General features: G+C 49.1%; 1 protein-coding gene, 1 long non-coding RNA gene and 1 other non-coding gene across 5 annotated transcripts in view, besides 2 other annotated features; 1 reads left to right on the top strand and 2 right to left on the bottom strand.

Moving 5' to 3' along the window:
* CCDC180 (coiled-coil domain containing 180) overlaps positions 229-21,981 on the bottom strand; it is a 71,415-nt gene continuing 49,662 nt past the window's right edge. The window contains exons 25-37 of the mRNA NM_020893.6: positions 21,255-21,353; positions 18,879-18,998; positions 17,082-17,254; positions 16,539-16,784; positions 14,852-14,929; positions 13,241-13,307; positions 12,280-12,421; positions 8,898-9,058; positions 8,202-8,339; positions 7,274-7,385; positions 4,332-4,437; positions 3,391-3,526; positions 229-2,217 (exon numbers count right to left, since the gene is read on the bottom strand). Coding sequence (NP_065944.3) covers positions 2,086-2,217; positions 3,391-3,526; positions 4,332-4,437; positions 7,274-7,385; positions 8,202-8,339; positions 8,898-9,058; positions 12,280-12,421; positions 13,241-13,307; positions 14,852-14,929; positions 16,539-16,784; positions 17,082-17,254; positions 18,879-18,998; positions 21,255-21,353 — 1,710 coding nt within the window. The 3' untranslated portion in view covers positions 229-2,085. The remainder of the gene's footprint in view (positions 2,218-3,390; positions 3,527-4,331; positions 4,438-7,273; positions 7,386-8,201; positions 8,340-8,897; positions 9,059-12,279; positions 12,422-13,240; positions 13,308-14,851; positions 14,930-16,538; positions 16,785-17,081; positions 17,255-18,878; positions 18,999-21,254; positions 21,354-21,981) is intronic.
* SUGT1P4-STRA6LP-CCDC180 (SUGT1P4-STRA6LP-CCDC180 readthrough) overlaps positions 1,685-21,981 on the bottom strand; it is a 138,870-nt gene continuing 118,573 nt past the window's right edge. The window contains exons 36-49 of one of the 3 annotated variants that reach the window (NR_036527.1): positions 21,255-21,353; positions 18,879-18,998; positions 17,082-17,254; positions 16,729-16,784; positions 16,539-16,617; positions 14,852-14,962; positions 13,241-13,307; positions 12,280-12,421; positions 8,898-9,058; positions 8,202-8,339; positions 7,274-7,385; positions 4,332-4,437; positions 3,391-3,526; positions 1,685-2,217 (exon numbers count right to left, since the gene is read on the bottom strand). This is a non-coding gene — a long non-coding RNA (SUGT1P4-STRA6LP-CCDC180 readthrough). Of the gene's footprint in view, positions 2,218-3,390; positions 3,527-4,331; positions 4,438-7,273; positions 7,386-8,201; positions 8,340-8,897; positions 9,059-12,279; positions 12,422-13,240; positions 13,308-14,851; positions 14,963-16,538; positions 16,785-17,081; positions 17,255-18,878; positions 18,999-21,254; positions 21,354-21,981 lie in introns of all 3 variants that reach the window. The other 2 variants (NR_036528.1, NR_036529.1) reach the window with 2 other exon arrangements.
* Positions 11,555-11,724: an enhancer, noted in NCBI's record as "active region_28659". NCBI's record gives its function as "activates an Ori minimal core promoter by ATAC-STARR-seq in GM12878 lymphoblastoid cells {active_cell/tissue: GM12878}" and the evidence as "EXISTENCE:reporter gene assay evidence [ECO:0000049][PMID:35858748]".
* Positions 14,799-15,058: an enhancer, noted in NCBI's record as "active region_28658". NCBI's record gives its function as "activates an Ori minimal core promoter by ATAC-STARR-seq in GM12878 lymphoblastoid cells {active_cell/tissue: GM12878}" and the evidence as "EXISTENCE:reporter gene assay evidence [ECO:0000049][PMID:35858748]".
* Positions 15,299-15,426, top strand: MIR1302-8 (microRNA 1302-8). Its single transcript, NR_031637.1, has one exon. It is a non-coding gene; the product is annotated as a microRNA 1302-8 (primary transcript).

Here is a 21,981-nt window from a genome sequence, read left to right as displayed (position 1 = left end):
GAGTCCAGTCTCACTCACTATTAGAAAAGTGATTTAGATATGATTTCTCACCAACCAAACCAGCAAAAAATTTCCCCCAAATCCTGAAACTAGAACCCTTGGTGTGGACGAGAAAAATGGGCAATGGGCAATGGGCAATGGGCACTGCTTAATGGTGGGAGGGGGTGGCCTGTTTCCCTGGAGGGTGACTTGGCACCATGTCCACAGCTGCCACCCTCTGATTAAGGAATGATTACAGATGTGTACAAAGAGCTAATGTGGGAGGATGTCATCTCTGCCTTCTTTCTAGGAGCCCTGCATGGGACATCCTCGCCCTTGTCCGACAGAGGCGATCTGGTTCCCCAGGCAGTGGGAACACTCTGCAGCTGTTTAAATGACAGTGTCCCACACTGCAATCAAAGCCCCTTTGTGGGCCATGAACTGAGTTAGTGGACTGGGCTAGGATTTAAAAAGCAGGGAGAAAATATTAGAAAGCAGCCTTTCTAGTAAGGTTAAGTGCTGTCCTGTGACCTGTTGGTCTCAAGTTGTGTATGTGTGCAAGGACCGTGTGTTTAGAACATGTTTATACAGTGGGTCAGAGTCAGAAAAGTATGAAAACCAATGATGTAAATGAATACTGAAGGATATGGCATAGGGTTTATCCAGTTAACATTTACCAAGCAGTTTATGGAACCTAATGCATGTTATGATTCCATTTTATAAAAATAACTCACATACATGGAAAGATGCTATGGACAGTGACTGTCTCTAGATTCCAGGATTTTATTATTTATTTATTCGTTTATTTGAGACAGAGTCTCATTCTGTTGCTCAGGCCAGAGTGAAGTGGCATGATCTTGGCTCACTGCAACCTCCACCTCCCAGGTTAAAGCGATTCTCATGCCTCAGCCTCCCCAGTAGCTGGGATTACAGGTGTGTGCCACCATGCCTGGCTAACTTTTTGTATTTTTAGTAGATATGGGGTTTCGTCATGTTGCCTCAGCTGGCCCCGAACTCCTGAGCTCAGATGATCTGCTCGCCTTGGCCTCCCAAAGTGCTAGGATTACAGGCGTGAGCCACCGCGCCCGGCTCAGGATTTTAAAGTTATCCTTTTGCTGGTTTCATAAATTCTTTTTTCTACAATGCGCATATATTCCTTTCGGAATAATAAGCAATGAAAGGTAGCACATTGGGGTGGGGGTGGGGGGAGCACAGAAAAGAACAGGAGATTGCTTTTGCCTTGATGGAAGGGGACTCCTCACTCTCCTGGCTTCAGTGCACAAAGGCCACCAAGCTAACCAAGCTAACCAAGCAGGGCCTCACTGGGTGGAGCAAACCAGGAGAGCAGAGTGAGTGTCCCCAGGTGAGGGAACTGCACTTGGAGGGTCACACAGCTTTCAGGGGCTGGAAATTTGGGAGCTGGGGCCTCCTAGGTCTATGGCTGAGGAAACCTGTCCAGATGACACACACAGCTACCGACAAATGAAGGCTGTACGCTCACGCCATGTAATTGAAGAAGAGAGTTGACGAACAAGAGACTGGCAGGCTGGAGGACTCCAAGAGAATGATCTGGGCAACACAGGACTAAAGGAGCCTGGAAGATTTTTTTTTTTCCAAAATATTGCAATTTGCTCAGACAAATTGTGGCACAAATACCAATCAACATTGGATTAGTTATTTGTTGGGTCTAGGAACCAGTGCAGAGTTGCAATTATAACCCATACTTGTTTATTCTGTTAAATTAAAATATCATTTTCCCATGACCTTTATTTCATTTTTCAAGATGACGTGCCCTGCCCAGCATGCTGTTTGGAGGTGATGTCCTTTGAAGCTCTGGTGCCTATTTGAAGTGACTGATTCCTGGTACTCACCCTCCCTGCTAACCACGTGGAATTCCCCTTTCATGCTTGCCTTCCTCATGGGAAGAGGGCTCCACGTGGGCAGGGACCATGCTGTGTCCTGTTCGCTGGTAAAGCTACAGTGCCCGGCACAGAGCAGGGGTGGAGGGATGAAGGGAGGGAGGGATGGACGGAAAGTAGGTAGGCAGGTAGATGGACAGGGAAGGAGTCTGTATAAGAAAGTGTTTATTCATGGTGGGGCGGAGGGTCACACATACAGGCCTTGGATAGTGTGCAGGGACTGCTTCCAGCTGTCCTTCCAGCGCTGAGCCTCCTTTATCTGAGATGTACAGTCATCCTGGATCCTCTTTAGCTCCTCCTCAAATGATGCTAAATATTTCTAGAAGGAAGGTAGCAGGAGGGGTCCACATGAGGAGAGACATCTGGACCCTCTCCCCTAGGGCAATGCTGTAACTTGCTGGCAGGTGGTTTTTAACCCATTCCAGGCACTGGCAAGAGTTCTCCAAGTCACTTCTCAGGTAGAAACCAGGTAGTCCTAGTTGTTTTCCCCATTTTACAAGACAGGAAAACTGAGGCTCAGAGCCTGGCCTGGGGTCACCCAGCTAGAAGGAGGCTGAGCAGGGACTAGGACCTGTGTCTATCTGACTCTAGGCTCAGCACTCCTTCCTGAGCTCTGTCCCACACTGTGGCCTCTCGGGAGCTCAGGGCTCCCGATTTTTTGGTAGGCTGGGCCTTCCAGGCCTCCCACCCTCACTGAACTCAGCAGGCCGAACTGCACCCTCTGCCTGGGGCTTGGAGGGGAAGCTGGGGGAGGGCTGACCCTGGGCACTTCAGCCTCTCCCAGTAAGGGGGCCAGCTGGTCTCTGGGCAGGACAAGGTTTCTCTCTGGACATCAGGACCAAAGGTCCACAGATCTTCAAAGCCAAGAGGTCCCTCAAGTGGCAACTGGGTGTAGCCTCCTCATCAGGCTGTCCCCAGGGGGTCTGACAGGCACTGGGATCAAATCCTGGCTCTGCCACTCTGTAGTGGCATAGAAGGGACAAGTTTCTTTAAGCCTCAGTGTCCTCATCAATGAAATGATAATAATTTTACCTCCCTTGTGGAGTTGTTAGGAGGATTCAGTGAGATGCCTCATGTCAAGAGCAGAAGCTCTCAGTAAGTACTTCCCAGTAAGTTCTCAGGAGCTGTGACTGCTCCTGCTGCTGTGTCCCCCCTGAGCCTACGGCTACCATTGCTTCCGTGCCTGGTGACAATGTTCCCTAGCTGTGACACTACTGTGCCTTTGGAAAGCCTTCACCCCTAATCTGGGTGGGATGTCCCTCAGCTGGGCTCCCACAGCATTGGGATCACGCCTCAGACCCACATTAATGTCCTCGTGCCTGTGAATGGTGACTGTCCTGAGTGTTGAGACCTGCAGCTCTGGGGTGTGCTGACATGTGTTGCCTGCTGCACCAGCCAAATGTTGGGTGCCGGGTGATGGGAAGCTCCCCCTTCCCAAGGCAGCCGACCTGAGCTGTGCTCCCTGGGACACGCCCACTCCACCCTGTCTCACCAGGTACACAGCATCTCGGGCTTCCACGGCCGCCAGGTGGCCCAGGGTGGTTTTGGTGGTGGAAATCGATGATGTTGGCTGGAGAAGAATCTTGTTTTGGATGGTGACTTCGGTGGGTTTGATCCCTGGCCACTTCCTACAAACAAACATGTGTGAAAATCTCACAGGCTTGTCTTCATCTTTCATAATCCACCTACCAACCCTGTTGGAAAAGCTTAGCATTTCTTTGAAAAAATTATCATGGCTTTAAATATCTTAATGAAAAGAAAAAACATACTGAATGTGAATGCTGCACTTGTTCAAGCTGTTTCATATTAGCCCCCACTGGTCTCATTGCTGTGCACGGTCTGGGGTTCTGGGGGGGGAAGGGGAGTGCCACAGCTCAAGTTGCTCCCCTTTCTGAGCCTCAGTTTACTCACTGATCTGCCAGCCAGGCGGTGGCCACCAGTGCCTGGTATGCTTTTCCTATGATGCCCTGAACACCACTTCTGAGAACATAGCTGGGCAAATCACTGCTCTGCTTCTTCTTGCAGAGTCACACTCTTGGGGCACAGGGAACAGGCACATTGCCAACTCTCTTCACACATGACGGACAGCTGGAGTGGCTCACAATGCCAGCAGTGACCCAAGAATGTGTCCCCCACTGAGCCAGGCCTCCCTTTCATCATGGGACCCTTTGGTGGGTCCTTATCATGTGCACTAATAGCTGTTGAGCTGTTTGTATGTGCTGGGGCACCCCAGGTACTACCTCATTTAACTTTCTCTTGATAATATCAAGGTAAGTGGCCATGCTCATTTCATAGATGAGGAAACTAAGGCTCAGAACACAATGCCTTTCCCAGGTCTGTCTGACTTCAGAGTCCAAGCCCCTAACCATTACACTGCACCACCCCCAGCAGATACAGCCATTTACAGTAGTCCTTGCTGCTCTTGGTTCTCACCTGCTTCCACGTTCAATCAGGGGTTTCTCACTCTCTTCCTTCAGGGAGAGCCCAGCGAGTTTCCTTCGTATGAGCATTGATAATTTCTGTTTGGGGGGCTCCATCCCTAGAGGCAAAAGACAGGCTAGTGACTGCAGCCTCACCGACAGCCTGAGATCGAGGGATTTCCCCTGGCATTACACTTAGAAAAGGGAGGACTGGCACCCCTCCTCCCACTTGGAGTTATGGCAGGCTGAGCCCTCTCCATGGAGAAGCTGAATGCACCAGCCACACAGCTCGGGGTGGTGACAGGGGCAGGGGGTCATGGATGGAGGAATCTAAGCGGTGGTGTGGGTGCTGTTCCCAGCTCCAAACCCAAGCCTGATGCTCTGACGTTGCTGCAGTTTCCATGAGTCCCCGGATATGGTTCATAGAGACTTCTTTGGCTTAGGCTAGCTCATATGGGTTCCGAACTAAGAACCTCCCCTGGAACAAACACGTTCAAGGTTGTCCCTTGACTATCTAGCTCAATAATCCAATCTTTGATGCTCTGATGTTCTTTCTAGATCAGGGGCGAGGGGGTGGGGGGCTCTGTGTGCAGAGAGCCAGCAGGTAACATGTACACTCCTCTGCCATGAATGGCAGGGCCCGGTGGCCTGGCTCAGAAGCCGAGTTGCAGAGTAGGCAGAGGCCTCCTAGGGCCTGGTGCAGGGAGTCTTCCTGGCTCAGGGGTTCCTTGCAAGGCACTGTGATCTGCTCCACTACCAGCTCACCTGCCTGTTCTCCCTGGGGTCTCGACCCCAGCATCTCTGCAAGGCGCTGATTTCCCAAACAAGGCTCACCTTTGACAGAGACCTCTGATAGAGAAAAGTGACCAACACTTCAAAAATCTGTACACACTTTGATCCAGACATCGCACTTCTAGGAGTCTGTTGCTCTAGAGATGCATGGATGCAGAGATTCTCTTCAGCACAATTACAGGAGTGGGAAATTGGAAATGGTCCAAAGTTCAATAGCAAAGGGACTAATTAGTAAGTTACAATGCTTATTACATTATGGTGTGCAGCAACTGAAAATGCTGAAGAGGAGGAGTGTTGACTGGCCAGCCCAGCCAAGGTTCACCTGCAGGGAAATCAGGTCGCAAAAGCGCCCAAGCCCTGTAATCTTCCCCAGCCACCCTGACACACAGGCCTGTGCCCAAAGGGAAAGGCCTGGCAGGATGAACAGCAAGTGCAAAGGGCGCTGCTTTCAGGGCGGAAGGACTGTGTTCTTCACTTGCTTCTTGGTTTATACTGATTTTCTTGTTTTACTGGAATGAACATTTATTGTTTTTGTAATTAAAAACCTTTACAAATAAAAAGGATGCATTTTAATTACTTTATAGATCAGTGATAAATGGATAACATTTAATGTATGATTTTAATCTTATATTTATAAAAGTAATATGCACATTATTAAAAATGTAAACATCACTTCATGATGAGAAAAAAGGTTTTAGGGATCTCTCTCAGTCCCACCCAGCAGAGGTGATCATCAGCAGTTTGGTACCTGTCTCTCTGTCTCTGTCTCTCACACAGATTCATTTAAACAGATGTGAGTATGCATGTTGATATCATGCATGTGTTTTAAAAGATGGGATCACAGACATGTCCTGTTTGTCCATTTGTTTTTTCACACAACAGCCCTCCTTCATGTCTTTCCATGTCAGCACATGCAGACCTACTTTAACAGCTGTGTGGTATTTACCTGCACATCTGGCACCCTCATTTATGCATCCAATTTTCGTTATTTTTGAGTCACGGTCTTGCTCTCTCACCAGGCTGGAGTGCAGTGGTATGATCAAAGCTCACAGCAGTCTCGACTTAAAGACTTAAGCAATCCTCCCACCTCAGCACCCTCCCAACCGCCCTCCACCTCTAGGAGCTGGAACTACACGTGCACACCACCACACCGAGCTAATCTTTAAATTTTTAGTAGAGATGAGGTTTTGTCATGTTGCCCAGGCTTGTCTCAAACTCCTGGGCTCAAGAGATCCACCCACCTCAGCCTCTCAAGTGCTGGGACTGCAGGTGTGGGCCACTGTGCCTGGCCCATTGAATTTTCTGTATATCAATGTTAGTGTTGCTTCCAATTCTTTGCCATTTCAAACAGTGCTGTGAACATTTTTGAACATATACCTTTGAAAAAGTGTCCAAGTATTTCTCTCAGATAAATTCCTAGAATTAGACGTGCTAGGCCAAACGTCTACACACTCAGAATTTTGACAGGGACTGACAAATTGTTCCCTATGACAGCGGTATCCATGTACGCTCTACCAAGAGTCTCTGCAGAGTCTCTGTTTCTTGACATTCTTTTACGTTGTTACCAAATGTAAAAACTTTGCCAGGCTATTGGTGAGAAATGATATCTAAATAATGCTTAGATTTTCATTTTTCATCATCAGTGAAGTTGAGCATTTTTTACAGTGACTAGCCATATGAACTGCTTCTCTTTTGAAGAGCATGTGTTTGTCCTTCGTCTCTTTAAAAATTTGACCTGTGAGAGTTCTTTGTACCACAAGGATATTAACCCTTTCTCTGATCTGTAAGTTGTGAGGAATACTTTTCCAGTTTGTGGTTTGTCTTTCCATCTTTTGACATTTTTCGGGATTTTTTTGGCTACAAAGAGCCAGCCATTCCCTCTATGGCTTCTAGCTCTCCTGTCATACTTAGAAAAGGTATCCCTAACCCCAAGAGTATGGGAGTGTTTACTTAATAGGGTTTCATTTTTTATATATAAACGTTGAGCCATCTGGCATTTGCTTTTTAATCAAAAAATTATTTTTAAGGAAAACAAAAATTAATCAGTCCCCTCAATGGATCACTTGTTTTCACTTTGATAGAGTTGGGGAAAGCAGACCCCTGCCCAACCTAGCCCTCACCAGCCCCCCAGGGCCATGACACAAGGCTGGTGGTGCCTCTTACTTGCAACCTGGACATCGTCAATGGTGACCACCTCATCCAACTGCAGTAGGAACTTCTCGGTGAAGGTGGCCAAGTTGGTTATGAAAACCTGGCCATTCCTTCTGGTACATTCCTGGAAAAAACATGGTGAGCACAGTGCTGCTAGGAGAGGATCATCCCTCCAAGGCCAGCTGAAGAGGGGATGGGTGAACTCTGCAGGGAGATCTGGGGACCCAAGCCATTATATCCACTGTGTCCAAGTAACCAGCATCTGGCCCTCAGCCAGGAGGCCTCTCCCAAGATGTGATCTGGTTTAAACATAATAAATGATTCAGAAACGGCCAAGGGACACACACAGACAATTCACAGAAGAGGAAATAAAACTAGACATGGATCACTAAATAAAAGTTATCGTCAGTAATTTTGTAATTAATTAATTTAGAAGTCAAAAAGTATACAAGTTAGGCCGGGCGCGGTGGCTCACGCCTGTAATCCCAGCACTTTGGGAGGCCGAGGCGGGTGGATCATGAGGTCAGGAGATCGAGACCATCCTGGCTAACACGGTGAAACCCCGTCTCTACTAAAAATACAAAAAAATTAGCCGGGCGCGGTGGCGGGCGCCTGTAGTCCCAGCTACTCGGGAGGCTGAGGCAGGAGAATGGCGTGAACCCGGGAAGCGGAGCTTGCAGTGAGCCGAGATTGCGCCACTGCAGTCCGCAGTCCGGCCTGGGCGACAGAGCGAGACTCCGTCTCAAAAAAAAAAAAAAAAAAAAAAAAGTATACAAGTTAAAACAGCCAATAATGGCCATTTTTACCTACAAAACCCAACCACGATCATGCCTGCTTTGGGCAAGATACCAAGAAAGGGCTGCACCTGGCACTGTCAGTGGCTGTCCATCGGGCTATATTTGGAGCATGCCTGGACTGGCGAATCAATGGTATCACTGACCTCCAGCTTCTCCTTGTTCATCCTAATCATGCTGTCCAGCTCTTCCTGCCTTTCCTCTTCACTTAAGTGTAGAGACTCCATTTCTTGGAAATGTACGGGGTGTCCAAGATTTAGATGGAGCTTCTGGGCATTTTTGTCCTTTAATCAAACAATCCAGAATTCAGTGGCAATGTTAACCCACCAAAAGTCACTGACCTGTGTCTTCTGTCAATTATGATTATGGCCAGACTCATGTCCTCTGACCTGGGTGTGTGGGGGTGATGGGTGGGCAGAAGAGTGGCAGAGGGGTTAAGAGGGGGGCATGGCTAGAGCTGACTCGGGGGTTTGGAAGAGAAAAGGCTGAGCATCTGCCCAGCACAATCAGAGTTTTAGTCCAGTGAAATCAGCAGTACCCATGTTCCACAGCTCCAAGGACCAGTGTGGACAATTATTGCTGTCTTAATGACTACAGCCCCACGGAACCCAGCACACCCACCCATTATAGCCAACAAGGAGTTTACTGAACACCTTCTATGTAGAAGCTGTTGGCTCAGTTCTTATTTCGCCAATGGCTCCTGTCCCTCAGCCCCCATCCAAAAATCCCAAGCCAAGCTCACCTTCTTCCCTTGGACTTGGCCCTGCCCACAACCTGCCACCATTTCTGAACTCCCAGTTCCCCTGGTCCTAGAGTGGAAGGGCTGGTCCTGGGGCCCTCACCTTTCTTTTCTCCAGCCGCTTCTGCTGTTCCTCGAACTGTCCTCGGATCTCCTTCACAGAGGTGAAAAACTTTTTCCAGTGGTGTTCCTTGAAATTCTCCATCACCAGCCAACACACTTGGGGCAGCAGCTCCTCAAATCTCCTGATCTGGATCCGTAATTCTGCCAGAAGTGCGGGTAAGAGGCCAAGGGAGGGAACAGATTAGAATCAACTTGCAGAGGCGATCTCTACAACAAAGGCCCAAAGCAGCTTCCCAAAGAGAAAATCTTGGTCTCCAACGTGGTAAGAGCTATTCCATCAAAAGAGGTCCTGAGGTCAAACCAGTATAGAAAATACAGGGTTAGCCAGCTGCAGTGGCTTACACCTGTAATCCCAGCACTTTGGGAGGCTGAGGTGGGAGGATTGCTTGAGGCCAGGAGTTCAAGACCAGCTTGGGCAAGACCCTGTCTCTAAAAAAATATTTAAACATTAGCCAGGCATGGTGGTACATGCCAGCTACTCAGGAGGCTGAAGTGGGAGGATTGCTTAAGCCCAGGAGTTTGAGGCTATGGTGAACTATAATTGCACCACACTCTAGCCTGGGCCACAGAGCAAGACCCTCTTTCTAACATAACATAACATAACATAACATAACATAACATAACATAACATAACATAACATAAAATAAAGGCTTAAATAAATTCAAAGGGCTTCTCCTATATACTCTGCGGACTTCTCATCTCATTTAAAATGCACTGTGTCTCTTGGCATTTTGGGCAAGTTCTCATCCATTATTTCAACTATTGCCTTGATTCTAGGTCTCCCTCTTTCTCTGTATCTCCAAATGGCCGTATGTTAGACCTGCTCTTTCATTCACATCCCTTTACCTCTCTCCCATATTTTCATCTCTTTATATTTCTGTGTTATATTCTGGTTATTTTCTTTGGATTTGCCTTCCAGTTCACCAATTCTACTTTCAGCTATATGTAACCTGGTAGTAAAGTCATGCATAGTTTTAAAATTTCAACTCTTAATTTTTCCTTCATGAAAGTTTTATTTTATTCTCTTTTATAGCTGCTTGGTCATTTTCATAGTCTTTTGCTTCTTATTCATGTTTCCAATTCCCTCTTTTATTTAACTAGAAGTATATTATTCTATGTTCTGTGTCCAATACTTTTAATATCTGCCAAGTCTTTGCTGGTCTCCTGCTGCCTCTTGCTCAAGGCATTTTGTTTCCTTGTGTTTATGGGGATTTTGTTGCTCTTTGTTTATTACTGTGAGCTCTTAGTCTGGGCATTTTATTTGTGGGAATCCTTTGAGGCCTGAACTGAAGATAGATTTTCCTAGAGAGAATTTGTTATATGTCCAACAAGCAAGCTTCTGAACACCACCAACTCAAGATCATTTTAAGCTCAGGTATTAGCTGGAGGTGTTTTGGATGAGCCACAAAAGCAAAATTGAATTCATGTTTAGATAAGTGTGAATTATCTAAACATAAATTTAGAAACCACACAGGGACTGGCATATAGTTCTGGATTTCTCTTTGGAGTTTTTTTTCTTCACCCAGTACCATGGTTTTTGATAAGACAGTTTCCTTCTGTCTTATGGAGGGACAGAGGGAGGAGCTTGGTTTCCGTCTCATTTGCCTTACTCAGGAAGCCCTGTTGGGTTCCAGCTATAGGTGGCTTGCTCCTTTTAGACTTCCCACTTTGGAGGTCTGTGGATTTGTCTCTTGTTCCCAATACCCTGGAGGCCATGAAAATAGAGGCTCAAGTTCACCTGGGAGTCAGCAAATGCCCCTAGGGCAATAACCAGGGTTACTACTCAATTTATCACTCAGAGTTTCTATTTTCACTTAATTTTTGGCTCTTGTGTGTTTCTCACTTTACAGATAGCTTGCTAATGCATTTAAAATATTTTATTACAAAAATATTTTATGCAGCATTTTACATGTTTTTAGTAGGAGAATGGATCCCCCATTAGCCTGCCAAGCTGCAGGAAACAGAAGTCTTCACTAGTTGTGAGTTTACCAGAGAGGGGTGCAGTCTGTAGCATTTTCCAAGCCCATTTGACCATGGAACCCTTGTTTTGAGGACAATCATGTAGGATGGGATCCCCCAGAGATCACTTGGGGGAAATTCTGAGCTAGAGAAACAAAACAATGCCTGTAGTTTCAATTCCAGTCATTCAACAACCACAGCTATGAGCACTATCGCTGCTTAATTCCCTGTACATGCCAAGTCTGTGTGAGGAACTTAATCCTCAAGAAGGCCTTCTGCGGTGGGTGTTATTAATATCTGCAGTCCACAGACAAGAAAACTGAGGCTCTGGCTGGGCGCAGTGGCTCATGTCTGTAATCCCAGCACTTTGGGAGGCCAAGGCAGGCAGACCATTGGAGGTCAGGAGTTCGAGATCAGCCTGGTCAATGTGGTGAAACCCTGTCTTTACTAAAAATACAAAAATTAGCCAGGCATGGTGGCATGCGCCTGTAGTCCCAGCTACTCAGGAGGCTGGGGCAGAAGAGTCTCTTGAACCCAGGAGACAGAGGTTGCAGTGAGCCGAGATTGCGGATCGTGCCACTGCACTCCAGCCTGGGCAACAGAGTGAGACTCTGTCTCAGAAAAAAAAAAAAAAAATAGAAAACTGAGGCTCAGAGAGGTGAGATCATTTGGCCAAGGTAATACAGCTGGGAAGTGGTGGGGCTGGGTCCTGGCCCAGTTCTGGCTATCCCCTGAACTCTCCTCCTTCTACCCAGAGGGCCTCTGAAACAGCATAGTAGACCACATCAAAGTGTGATAGATTCATACAATGGAATATTATTCATTGATAAAAAGGAATGAAGTACTGGCACCATCTACAACATGCATAAACCTTGAAATATTATGCAAAATGAAATAAGCCAGTCCCAAAGACTACATACTATACAATTCTATTCTCATGAAAGTAAAGAATAAGGAAGTCTATAGAGACAGAAAGTAGATTAGTGGTTGCTTTAGGCTGGGGAGGGGTTAGGGGATGGGGTTTCTAAAATTGACGGTAGCGGTGATTGCATAACTCTGTAAATAAACTAAAAACCACATTGAGTACACTACATGTGTAAATTTTATGGTACCCAAGTATCTCAACAAAGCTGTCAAAAATATCTGTAGAAGAAACAAAATATTTTTAGAGGTACAAATCACCATATTTCTCAAGAAAAGTGAACTTTTTTCTTGCATGGTCGCATTTCCCCAGTAAAATCTGATTATTGTTTTTACCTAATTTTAAGAGGTCAGCTTTTCACAGGGAAGCTCTTCTGCCTCCCCCAGAGGGGAGGATCCAGGCCACAAGGCCAAGGCCGAGCTCCACCACTGGCTTCGCGCCCCGCCCTGTTCCCCGTGCCTTCCTGCTGCCTATACTCACCTATGAGGCAGGAGTTGTGGTACTTATTTGCCTGGCTCTGATACTCCAGGATCTTTTTGCTAATGTTCTCGGCGCACTGGTCAAAGGTGTCACACATGCAGTCAGGCCTGGTGACTGGGCGTTTTTCTTTACGGTAGAACTCCTGCCAGAGAGGGTGACCATGTGCGGGTGAGGACTCCATGGGACTCTGGCCCTTGCTCCTGGGATCCACCAGCCTGCCCTCACCTCCACACTCCCTAGCCTTTGCTCGTGGCATCCCCTGTGGAAGTGACACGAGCAGACACTCCTCCTTCCCTGTCTGCCCGTGTCGCCTCCCTGGGCCCACCTGGAGTGAGTGGAGCCATGGCCAGCCCTCGTTATTTCCTGAATGAGTGACTGGCAAGAATCCTATTTATCCTTCAAGACCCAAATCAATGGAATCTCAGATTGGTGACCAGGTTGGGAGCTTACAAGGAAGTGCCAAGCTGGGTATAGGCTGCAGGCCACAAAGACGGGCGAGCCAGGGACCCTGCCCTGAAGGAGGCAGACAGACCCGTGGGAGGCAGACAGGAGAAGGCACTCGCACTACGGTGCAGGGCATGTGGGAACAGGGCACTGGGCAGCTTGTCTGGTGCCTGGTCCCACTGCCCCACCTCTTTCTGTGCCCCCGCCAGGTCTGTCAGCTTTCCACTGGGCCTGGGTGCCTTGGGGACAGAGGATGGGCTTGTTCCTCTTGGCACACACAGTACCTGACATGCAGTTGATATCTAAGAAATGTTTGGTGATCAATTAGATGAATGAATGAGGTTTGGTTTCTCAAAGAAAAAAACTCATAGGGAGGTGACAGAAGCTGGGGAGCTGTGGTCATGGCGGGGGTGGAATCCTCTCTTCCTCATTTTCCCCCAAGCGGCCATGATCAGCAGACTGCAGAAGGCAGGCGTGGTTTCCAGGGCAGGCACAGGCCATGGGTGGTGGTCCTCACCTCTGCGACTGTCAGCAGGTTCTCACTGCTCTCCCAGAGGAGGGTCAAGATGATCCCCTTAAAATCCCTGCAACACACACGAGACAGATCCCTGAGGGGCCTGGTCTAGACACACAAACATGGACAAAACCACATGAACAGAACTTTCCAAGTGCTCTGTTTTGGCCGTGACACTCCTTGAAATTACTCACTGCTGCCCCAGGACCTCTGCACACTCTGATTCCACTCCATAACAGCAGCTAACTTTCTTCTCTTCTTGGTTGTATTTGTTCCTGCCCTTCCTCAGACCCCAGCTCAGCTGCAATTTCTGACCACCTGGCTTTAATGATCTTGGATTAATGCCCCCTCAGCCTTATGACATGCTAATCAGGTGGATTTGGGATTGATTTGTGTGACTGGCTGATTAACCTCCATCTCTCCCAGCAGACTGTAAAGGCCACCAGGTGTTTAAGATCATAAACAGGAGGCCATCAGGCTGACACGGTTCCAGTGCCTGGAGTTTCTAGCTAGAAAACAAACGTAACTCAGAATGAATGGTCATAGTCTAGGAAAATGAAATGTAAGCTTAACCAATCAGAAATAGCCAACTTGGAACTTTTCACTTTAACCAAGCAAATATTTTCTTTGCCTTCCTTCTATAAACACCTTATAAAAGGTGTCCCCTGGTGTTCCCTCGGTGGATCCCTGAACCGCCTGGGGTCTGGCACTGCCCAATTCATGAATGACTGACTGTTCAAATAAACTCATCAACATTTTAATGTGCCTGAGTTTATCTTTTGACACAGGACATGGACCTGTCTGTACTTGTTCACCATGGAATCCCCAGCCCCATGGCAGTGCCTGTACCGGGCAGTGCCTCGATTAGCTGAAAGAATGATTACTCCTAAATAGTAATCAAATGAACAGGACTTCATGTAGGACCAAACATCCTCCTGCATCGAGCTATAAAAAATAGAGAGCCGAAGTATTCAGGGTGCAGGAGCGTCCTTGGGTGTGGGACGAGGGAACTGTCTACCTGCCAGCTGGAGGCCACACCTGGGTTGCCTGATGTCACAGCCATCCTTCTCTGCCAAGTTCATGACCCCCAGAGACGAGGTCTCCAGGGTGAGAGGGCTGATGAGAGGGGGCCGCTGTCTGGGGGGATCTCTGACATAGTGGGAGTGGGAGCTCCTTTGTGGTGCTTGACTTTCTCCGAAGGCTTTTTGTTTTCTGACCTTGGAATTTTGCTTGTTTGCTTGCAATGAAGCTATACTAAGTTGAACAGCTTTTGTTTTAATCACTGGAGTTACAATAAAGGAAAAGAGAAATGGGGGAAAGCACTGAAAAAAATTACAAAAAAAAGTTCAGACCTCGAATGGGGTCTCCTGCCCTACCACCAGGAAATGCTTGTTAGCTTGGAAAATGTGAAATGTTGATGAAAATGTTTCTCAACAAATTTAGGTGAAATGGGCTGAGACAAACTGACCTTGACCTTGCTATCTCCTCTCACCCCTCCTCTGCTTGGACCTGCCTTTCCCCTTTCTGATTTTTCCCCTCAGCTGAGTCACATTTGCTGCCCCTGCAACCCAAAACAGGTTAAATGCAGTCAAAAGGAAAGGCGTTGTTACTCACTCGGCAGCAGGGGGAGGCTTGTCCCCAAGCACCCGGTACTTTCTCTCCATTTTGTTGGGCTTGGGGTGCGGTGTGAAGCTGTGGGACAAAGGTGGGTGGGTGGTCTGGAGGCTGTGGACAGACGCAAGGCAGGTCTGAGCCTGCAGGATCCCTGCCTGGGTTTCTGGAGGCATTGGGCCTGCCCGTGGGCAACCGGACTTCCATTTCTAGGGCCTAGCCCTTTGGGGCGTTTCCCTTCTCAACAGCTGTGAGTCTACCTTACCGTAAGGTGAAATCTTAACCACCTTAACTGCTGAAACCCAACCACAGCTGCTGTGAGAGGGCAAGGGGTGGAGGTGCTCAGGCCCAGAAATTTGCATTCCTGCTTCCCCGTGATGAGGACCCAAAGAAAAAAAAACATTGAGCCACAGGTAGGGTTGCCAGATTTAGCCATAACAATACAGCACGCCCATTTAAACTTGAATTTCATATAAACACCGTAATTTTCAGCATTAGTGTATCACATGCAGTATTTGGGACATACTTATGCTAAAAAATTAGGTGGTGTTGATCTGAAATTCCAGTGTAGATGGGCACCCTCTCTTTTATCTGGCAGCCCTAGTGACATGGACTTTGTTTCGTAACCTCTCAGAGACTGAACATGTAAACAGGTCATGGCTGGATCATATAAAAAATAGAGCTCTGCCCCATGATGTGCAGCAACCTACCCAGAAGGCCACCCCCACCTTATCTCCAAGAAGCCACCCAGGAAGTCAGCCTGCTCTAAGTCAGATTTGCAGGAAGTGAGATTGTCATCTTTGGGGACAGTCCAGGAAGCTACACAATATCACCTATAACAGTAGGTCCCAAATGGCCAGGACTTAATTAATAAATGACAGCTTCCCTAATTTTTGTCCTCATTTCCAACTTTGGACCAACCAGAGAAAGCCAAACATGTCCCGTAACCAATCACGTGGGATGCCCTGCTTTCAGTGGGCAACCTCCAGCTTCCTCATGACAGCAGCCCCCAACCAGCGCACAGCTGGAGAGGAGGGCAATGCTTCCCACTCCTCTGCCTGCCCTGGGAGCTCTGCTGAAACACCCTGGATGGTGACTGACTCCCTGCTGTGGTCAGCTCTGAGTCAATAGCCTTTGCTCTTCTCATGTGGCTGGTCTTTGTTTCTTTCCCCATTGCACACAGCACGCATGCTCAAAAAGACCTTCTGGAGGGAAAGGCAAAGCAGGGATTCCCCTTGCCTTCTCAAAACCAGGAACAAACCCATGTCAACCAGGCTGACACAAAGAGCTAGTGAGTCTACTCAGCCATGGGGCTTCTGATATGCACCTTCCATAAAATATGCATGTGGGGTAAACTTTGAGTCTAACAACCCCACTGAGGCTTGGTGGGCAGGGCGCCAAGGCCCAGAACTCTTTCTGTGGCTCTGTGATGTCTCTCCAGGAAAGCCATCTGCCCCGTCTTTCTAACCATGACCGTGTGTGGAAGGTGGCACGGCTGAGATCCATCAGCACCATGGACAACCAGCAAACTAAGGATGGCGCTCACCCCTCACTGCGCCCCGTGGAGTCCCAGAGCCATGAGCATTGTGGTGCCTTCTGAGGAAAAGCCTGGGAAAGCCATAGGTCATCTCCTGCCTTTGTGTGGGGGGATGGACTGGGAAGGGGCGATTCTGGCTGCTTTGTGTCCTACCTGCCTGCAGAGGTAGCACTGGCACTGGGTACAGCCTTCTTCCCAGAGTTTTCTGGCTGGCACCGATGTCGCTTGAAGCCTTTGGGTGACGAGGGCCCAGGACAGGAGCAGAGGACAGGAGGTGAGCACACAGCACCACCAGCCCCTGCCTCACTGCTGCCCCGAGACCCACAGGCCCATGCGCCTCTACCTGTCTGGGACGGATCTTTGTCACAATGGTGGGTTGGCCATTTTGTGTTGGGAAGTCTGAAACCAAAGGAAAGGGTGTGAGCTCTTCTCCGGTGACCATGGGGGTAGCTCAGGCCAGGCTCTGAGCAGCATCCCAGTTAGTCCTCAGCGCCACGTCAGTCAGTCCTGTCACGAGCCCCATTTCAGATGAGAAACTGGGGCTCTGGGTGGGGAAGCCCTTTGCCTGAGGTCACAGGCTCTCAGGGGTGGACTCACGTGGGAACCCCAGTGTGTGGGGCCCCAAAGCTGGTCCCTGAAGGTCCAGGGCCAGGGGCAGGGGTGGCAGAGCCTTAGGTGCACCCTGGGGCCACTCACTGCAGGAGCTTCCTGATCACATCCACAGCTGGGTCCTCAATCAGGGGCTTCCCCACGCGGCTCAGCTGGGTGAAGGACTCAGGGGTGACCACGTCCAGCTTGGCCTCCTCTTCAAGGGCTTCTGAAGATGTCAGGATGTCACTGTCTTCCTCCTGGTCCTTCAGGATGGTGTTCTGCAGGCCAGAGAGAAGGGCCTGAGGGTGTAAGGACCAGCCCAGGTGCCAGCGAGGCAGCAGGCCGAATTCATGTTCCCTCCCACCCTGCCTCAGTGGAGTGGCTGCAGGCAAGCTAGCTGACCTCATTGAGCCACTATTTTCTCCTCTGTAAAGTGATCTCCCTTACAGAGCCATTCATTCATTCATCCGTTTATTCATGCCTTTAGAAATTTTCCCGGGTGCCTGCTCTTCACAAGTCTCTGCCCATGTTCTAGGAACACAGGGGCCAAGAGGCCATATATGATCCCTCCTGTCTCAGAGCTTGTGGTTTAGTCAGAAAAGACAGACATTTAACTTGCACTTATACCAATAAATGCTTCTCCAAAACTGGGACCAGTGCTGTGAAAGAAAAGTTCCAGTATCTTCTGTGAGATTGAAGTTAGACCTGCAGATGTGCCCGGTCAATGTTTTTGACCAAATGGATGGAGGAGTGAATGCCAGGCTGAGTGAGTGGTCAGCTCCCCTTGAGCAGGCTCCTAGAGAAAGTGTGGAATTGGCGCCCATGGTGAGCACCTAGGCTGTTCTCTGTTTCATTCTGAGTCTCATCTTAGCAATGGCCTGTCAGTCCCTTGAGTGAAGTCCTGGGAGACCTTCACTCAAAGTCTCCTAGTCACTCAATACCTTCACGCTAGACCCTTGGAGCCCCATGCTACTGGACACCCCACCAGAGGGAGATGGATGCCTAGTGCTGGCTGCATGGTGGGAAGGGCCTCCCCATGGAAGGAAGGTTGGTCAAGGCTTGGTGGTGAGAGCAGGGCCTAGCAGTGCTCTACTCTGCAGACATTGGCTGTCAGGCCCTTCCCTGGAAGTTGGCTGAGCATCTCAGCCCAATGTGAGGTGTGGGCAGGGGTGGGGGTGATGCAGGCTCTGCCCATAGAGGCTTGCAGTCTCAGGGCAGACAGCAACCGAAATGGAGACCCCATCGTGTGGGGAAGTGGGAGGTGCTATGGGCCGGGAGACCCCGACCCAGACCAGGAGGTGAGAGGAGGCTTGGTGGGGAGTGACATCTTAGGCGGAGTGAGAGGGATGAAGAGGCATGGAGGACAAGCCGTGGAGGCTGCTGTGTGTCCAGTGAAAGCGTTTGGACTTTGCCCCGAGGGTAGGGAAGTGACATGGTCTGACCAGCCTCTTCTGGCCATGTTCGGGGAACGGACCATGGGAGATGTGAGAGGATGTGGGCATCAGGTGGGCAAGAGGCAGGGGTCTGGATGAGGTGTTGGGGGTGCCATGGGGAGAAGCCAGGGCTGCCCCTGGGTGCAGGTGGGAAGGAAGAGGCTGAGAGGTGGGACTGGCTTGAGATTCCGTGGATAGGGTGAGTGAGGGTCCTGATGGAGCAGGTGAGGTAGTGCCAGGAGCTGAGGGGTCTCCTCTGAGACCAATGCAAGGAAGTGGCCCCCTGGGGATTAGAATCCAGCTCTGACTTCACAGCTTGTGATCTTTCCACAGCATCTCAGTAAGCCTGATGTCCCGCGGAGGCCTGGGAGTCCCCTCTTCCCTTTGGCTCTACTGAGCCCTGCAGGTCTCCTGGGAGCCCAGACAACAGCTCACCCACCCTTTCCTGCCACCCTATCCCATTCCTTACGGTAAAGACCAGTTCAGTCATGGACACCCTGTCCAGGCTGCAGTTAAGGTACTGAATCCTCTGGCTCAGTTTTTCCTTCCAAGTTTGGACGAAGCTGAGGAGTTCTTCTGTGGTCACTGTCTGGTGAGAAAAGGGAGGAAGAAAGCCCCAAGGAAGCAGACTGCAGGAGGGTGGGTAGATTCTGTGGGAAGTGCGGGAACAGGGGCTGGGCTGATGAGGATACCTCTTGGCTTAATGGAGGCTCCTCACATGCAGGGAAGGCCCTTGGGGAGTGGGGAAGGCTGGGCTGGCTCTGCTAGGCAGCCTTCACTTCACAGTGAAGGACAACGCACCCTTCACTGATGGGAACATCAGGAGTTCTCTTCCTGGATCTACAGTTTCAACTCTGAGCAAATAACTTAAACTTGCTCAACTTGTTCTCCCCATCTGTAAGATGGGGACACAAAATATTCCCTAGGATCTCCTCTGGCTCTCACATTCTATGTTTAGAAGGAAACATTTGACGCAGGTGGCAAGGGTGTGCAGGAGTGTGTAGGAGAGTGATCTGGCCACCTCCATGGCAATGTCTAACACGCACCCTCTCGGAGCAGCACCCCACAGGTGTGCAGGAATGCAACGGTGAGGATCTTCCCTCTCGCCACACATTCAAGGCATCACTCTTGTCCCCTAATCACCGCTCTGCAGACTGTCCAGCCAGCCTCCTCTGTCAACACAGGAATGCCCGCACACCCATGCTCACATGATCCTCACCTGGCTGGGAGGCTGGGCAAGCCCCTGGCACCCACCCAACACCCTAACAGGAGAGGACAGAGCAGGGGTTGGGAGGCGAGGATGTGAGAGACTGGACGTTTCTGTTCTGGAGAGGTAGAGCTGCCTTAAAGAGCCTGTTGAAGAGTTACAGCTGATTAACCTCATCTTCCCCCTGCTCCTCATTAGGGGGCTCATAAGGGAGATCAGGCAAGTCACAGGCAAAATATAGGAGCCACCCTTCCTCTGCACAACTGCACTGCAGGGCAAGTAATCTCAGTGGATGTGTAGAAACAAGTGCATGCATATACATAACAGGGTTTACAGTGCCTCTGTGCAAAATGAGAATAGTGAGAGGGACATTTATTCTGCAAACTATGCTTTGTGGGTGTTTACGCTTTTTTCAAGAGTCATGCAATAAACTATATAAGAAAAAGCAATAAAGACAGAAAAATAAACATCCTCTCAGTGCTAATAATAGAACTGCAACTCAGAGTCACTGAAATGGTAGAGAAAAGACAGAGAACGGTGAGGAGAAAGCTTCCCACTCCAGAACCTTCAGGCTGGGGTGTCTGGTTCTGGGAGCACCTGGCTGGACTGTTGAGGAATGGTTCCCTGGTGTGGCCTGGGCGACAGGCCAGGGGAGACTGAGTTGAGCAAGTTTAAGTCATTTGCCCGGAGTTGAACCCGTAGATCCAGGAAGAGAACTCCCGATGTCCCCCATCATTGAAGGGTGTGCTGTCATTCACTGGGGGACAGAGTCGTGCACTCATGGCAGAAAAAGCAGCACATAGACAACCAGAGACCTGCTCTGAGGATCAGAGCCAGGCGAACGCTTGGAACCACGCTCTCCACAAACTGTTCCAATTCTGACTTTTCATACTTTAAACACAGAAAACCAGTTTCTGTGCTACGATCAAAAGAAGCAAGTGAGGCCGAATGCGATGGCTCACACCTGTAATCCCAGCACTTTGGGAGGCTGATGTGGGCGGGTCACTTGAGGTCAGGAGTTTTGAGACCAGCCTGGCTAACATGGTGAAACCCTGTCTCTACTAAAAATACAAAAATTAGCCGGGTATGGTGGCAGGTGCCTGTAGTCCCAGCTACTTGGGATGCTGAGGCAGTACAATCACTTGAACCCGGAGGCAGAGGTTGCAGTGAGCTGAGATTGTGCCACTGCACTCCAGCCTGGGTGACAGAGTGAGACTTCGTCTCAAAAAAAAAAAAAAAAAAAAAAGCAAGTGGAAAGTCAAACAAAAAGTGGTTGTTCAGGGGGCAGGGCCCTGCTTCTGTCATGCATCTAGGACTGAGTTCTCCTTACAGCAAGGGACACCTGGTGACATCCCAAGGGAGTGAGGTCAGAGGAAGCCAGACTCAGGCCTCCCCCAACACTAGACGCTGCTCCATGCTTGCCTGGGAGGGGTTGGAGGTGAACAGTGGCTGCTTTCTCTTTTGTTCCTTTCTTCATTCCATGAAACAGGGGTTAAGTAGGAAGGCTCAGAGATGTCCCCCCACCCCGCCAACCTTGTGCTGGAGAAATCCTATACACACAGGTAAATTTATTTCACATTTATGACTTTAGCATGATATATCTTTATTATTCACATGCAGAATCTATTGAACACTTACGGTTTTCTCTCCCCTGGACTCTTGACAAGTTTTTATCTTGTTCTGAAGCTGTTGCAGAGAGAAATTTAATCCATTTGTTTGCGAATTGGATTTTGCCACCTAGAAAACCAGAGGTTCCGAGATTTTGTTTCTAGAATACATATTGTGATCTGGGAAACATTCTGTGAAACATACCATCTGAGAAACTGATTAAGCACTGAAAAAAATGAAATCAGGGAAAAATATGCAGTTTTACCAGACATTGATACAAATTAAAAAGATTTTTTTCCCCTCTCAAGTAAGTAAGGTTCAAGCAAAATTGGCACCCCAGAGTGTGGTGAGGGAGTTGGGAGGACAGGCTCTGCTTTAGCAGGGCCAAGGCTGTAAAGACTCCCTGGAAAGCTTCGAGAGCCATAGAAAGGTCATGCTCTGACCCAGGACTGTGGCTTCCACGAGGCACCCTAAGGATGCAGTCAGATTGTCCTGGCAAGTGCACAGGCTCTGCTCCAGCAGTGCAGAGCCAAGGCTGTAAAAACTCCCTGGAAAGCTTAGAGAGCCGTAGAAAGGTCATGCTCTGACCCAGGACTGTGGCTTCCAGGAGGCGTCCGAAGGATGCAGTCAGACTGTCCTGGCAAGTGCACCTCTCACAGCATCACCTTTCATAACAAGAAGCAAAATTCACCAAATGTTCCTCCAGAAAGGAATGCTTAAGTAAAAATGTCAACACATCCATGACAGAGAAGCCATC

This window comes from Homo sapiens, chromosome 9, assembly GCF_000001405.40.
Source record: "Homo sapiens chromosome 9, GRCh38.p14 Primary Assembly".
Classification (NCBI taxonomy): Eukaryota; Metazoa; Chordata; class Mammalia; order Primates; family Hominidae; genus Homo; species Homo sapiens.
The sequence above is the reverse complement of the archived record's forward strand: the minus strand, read 5'-3'. Positions and strand labels throughout refer to the sequence as shown.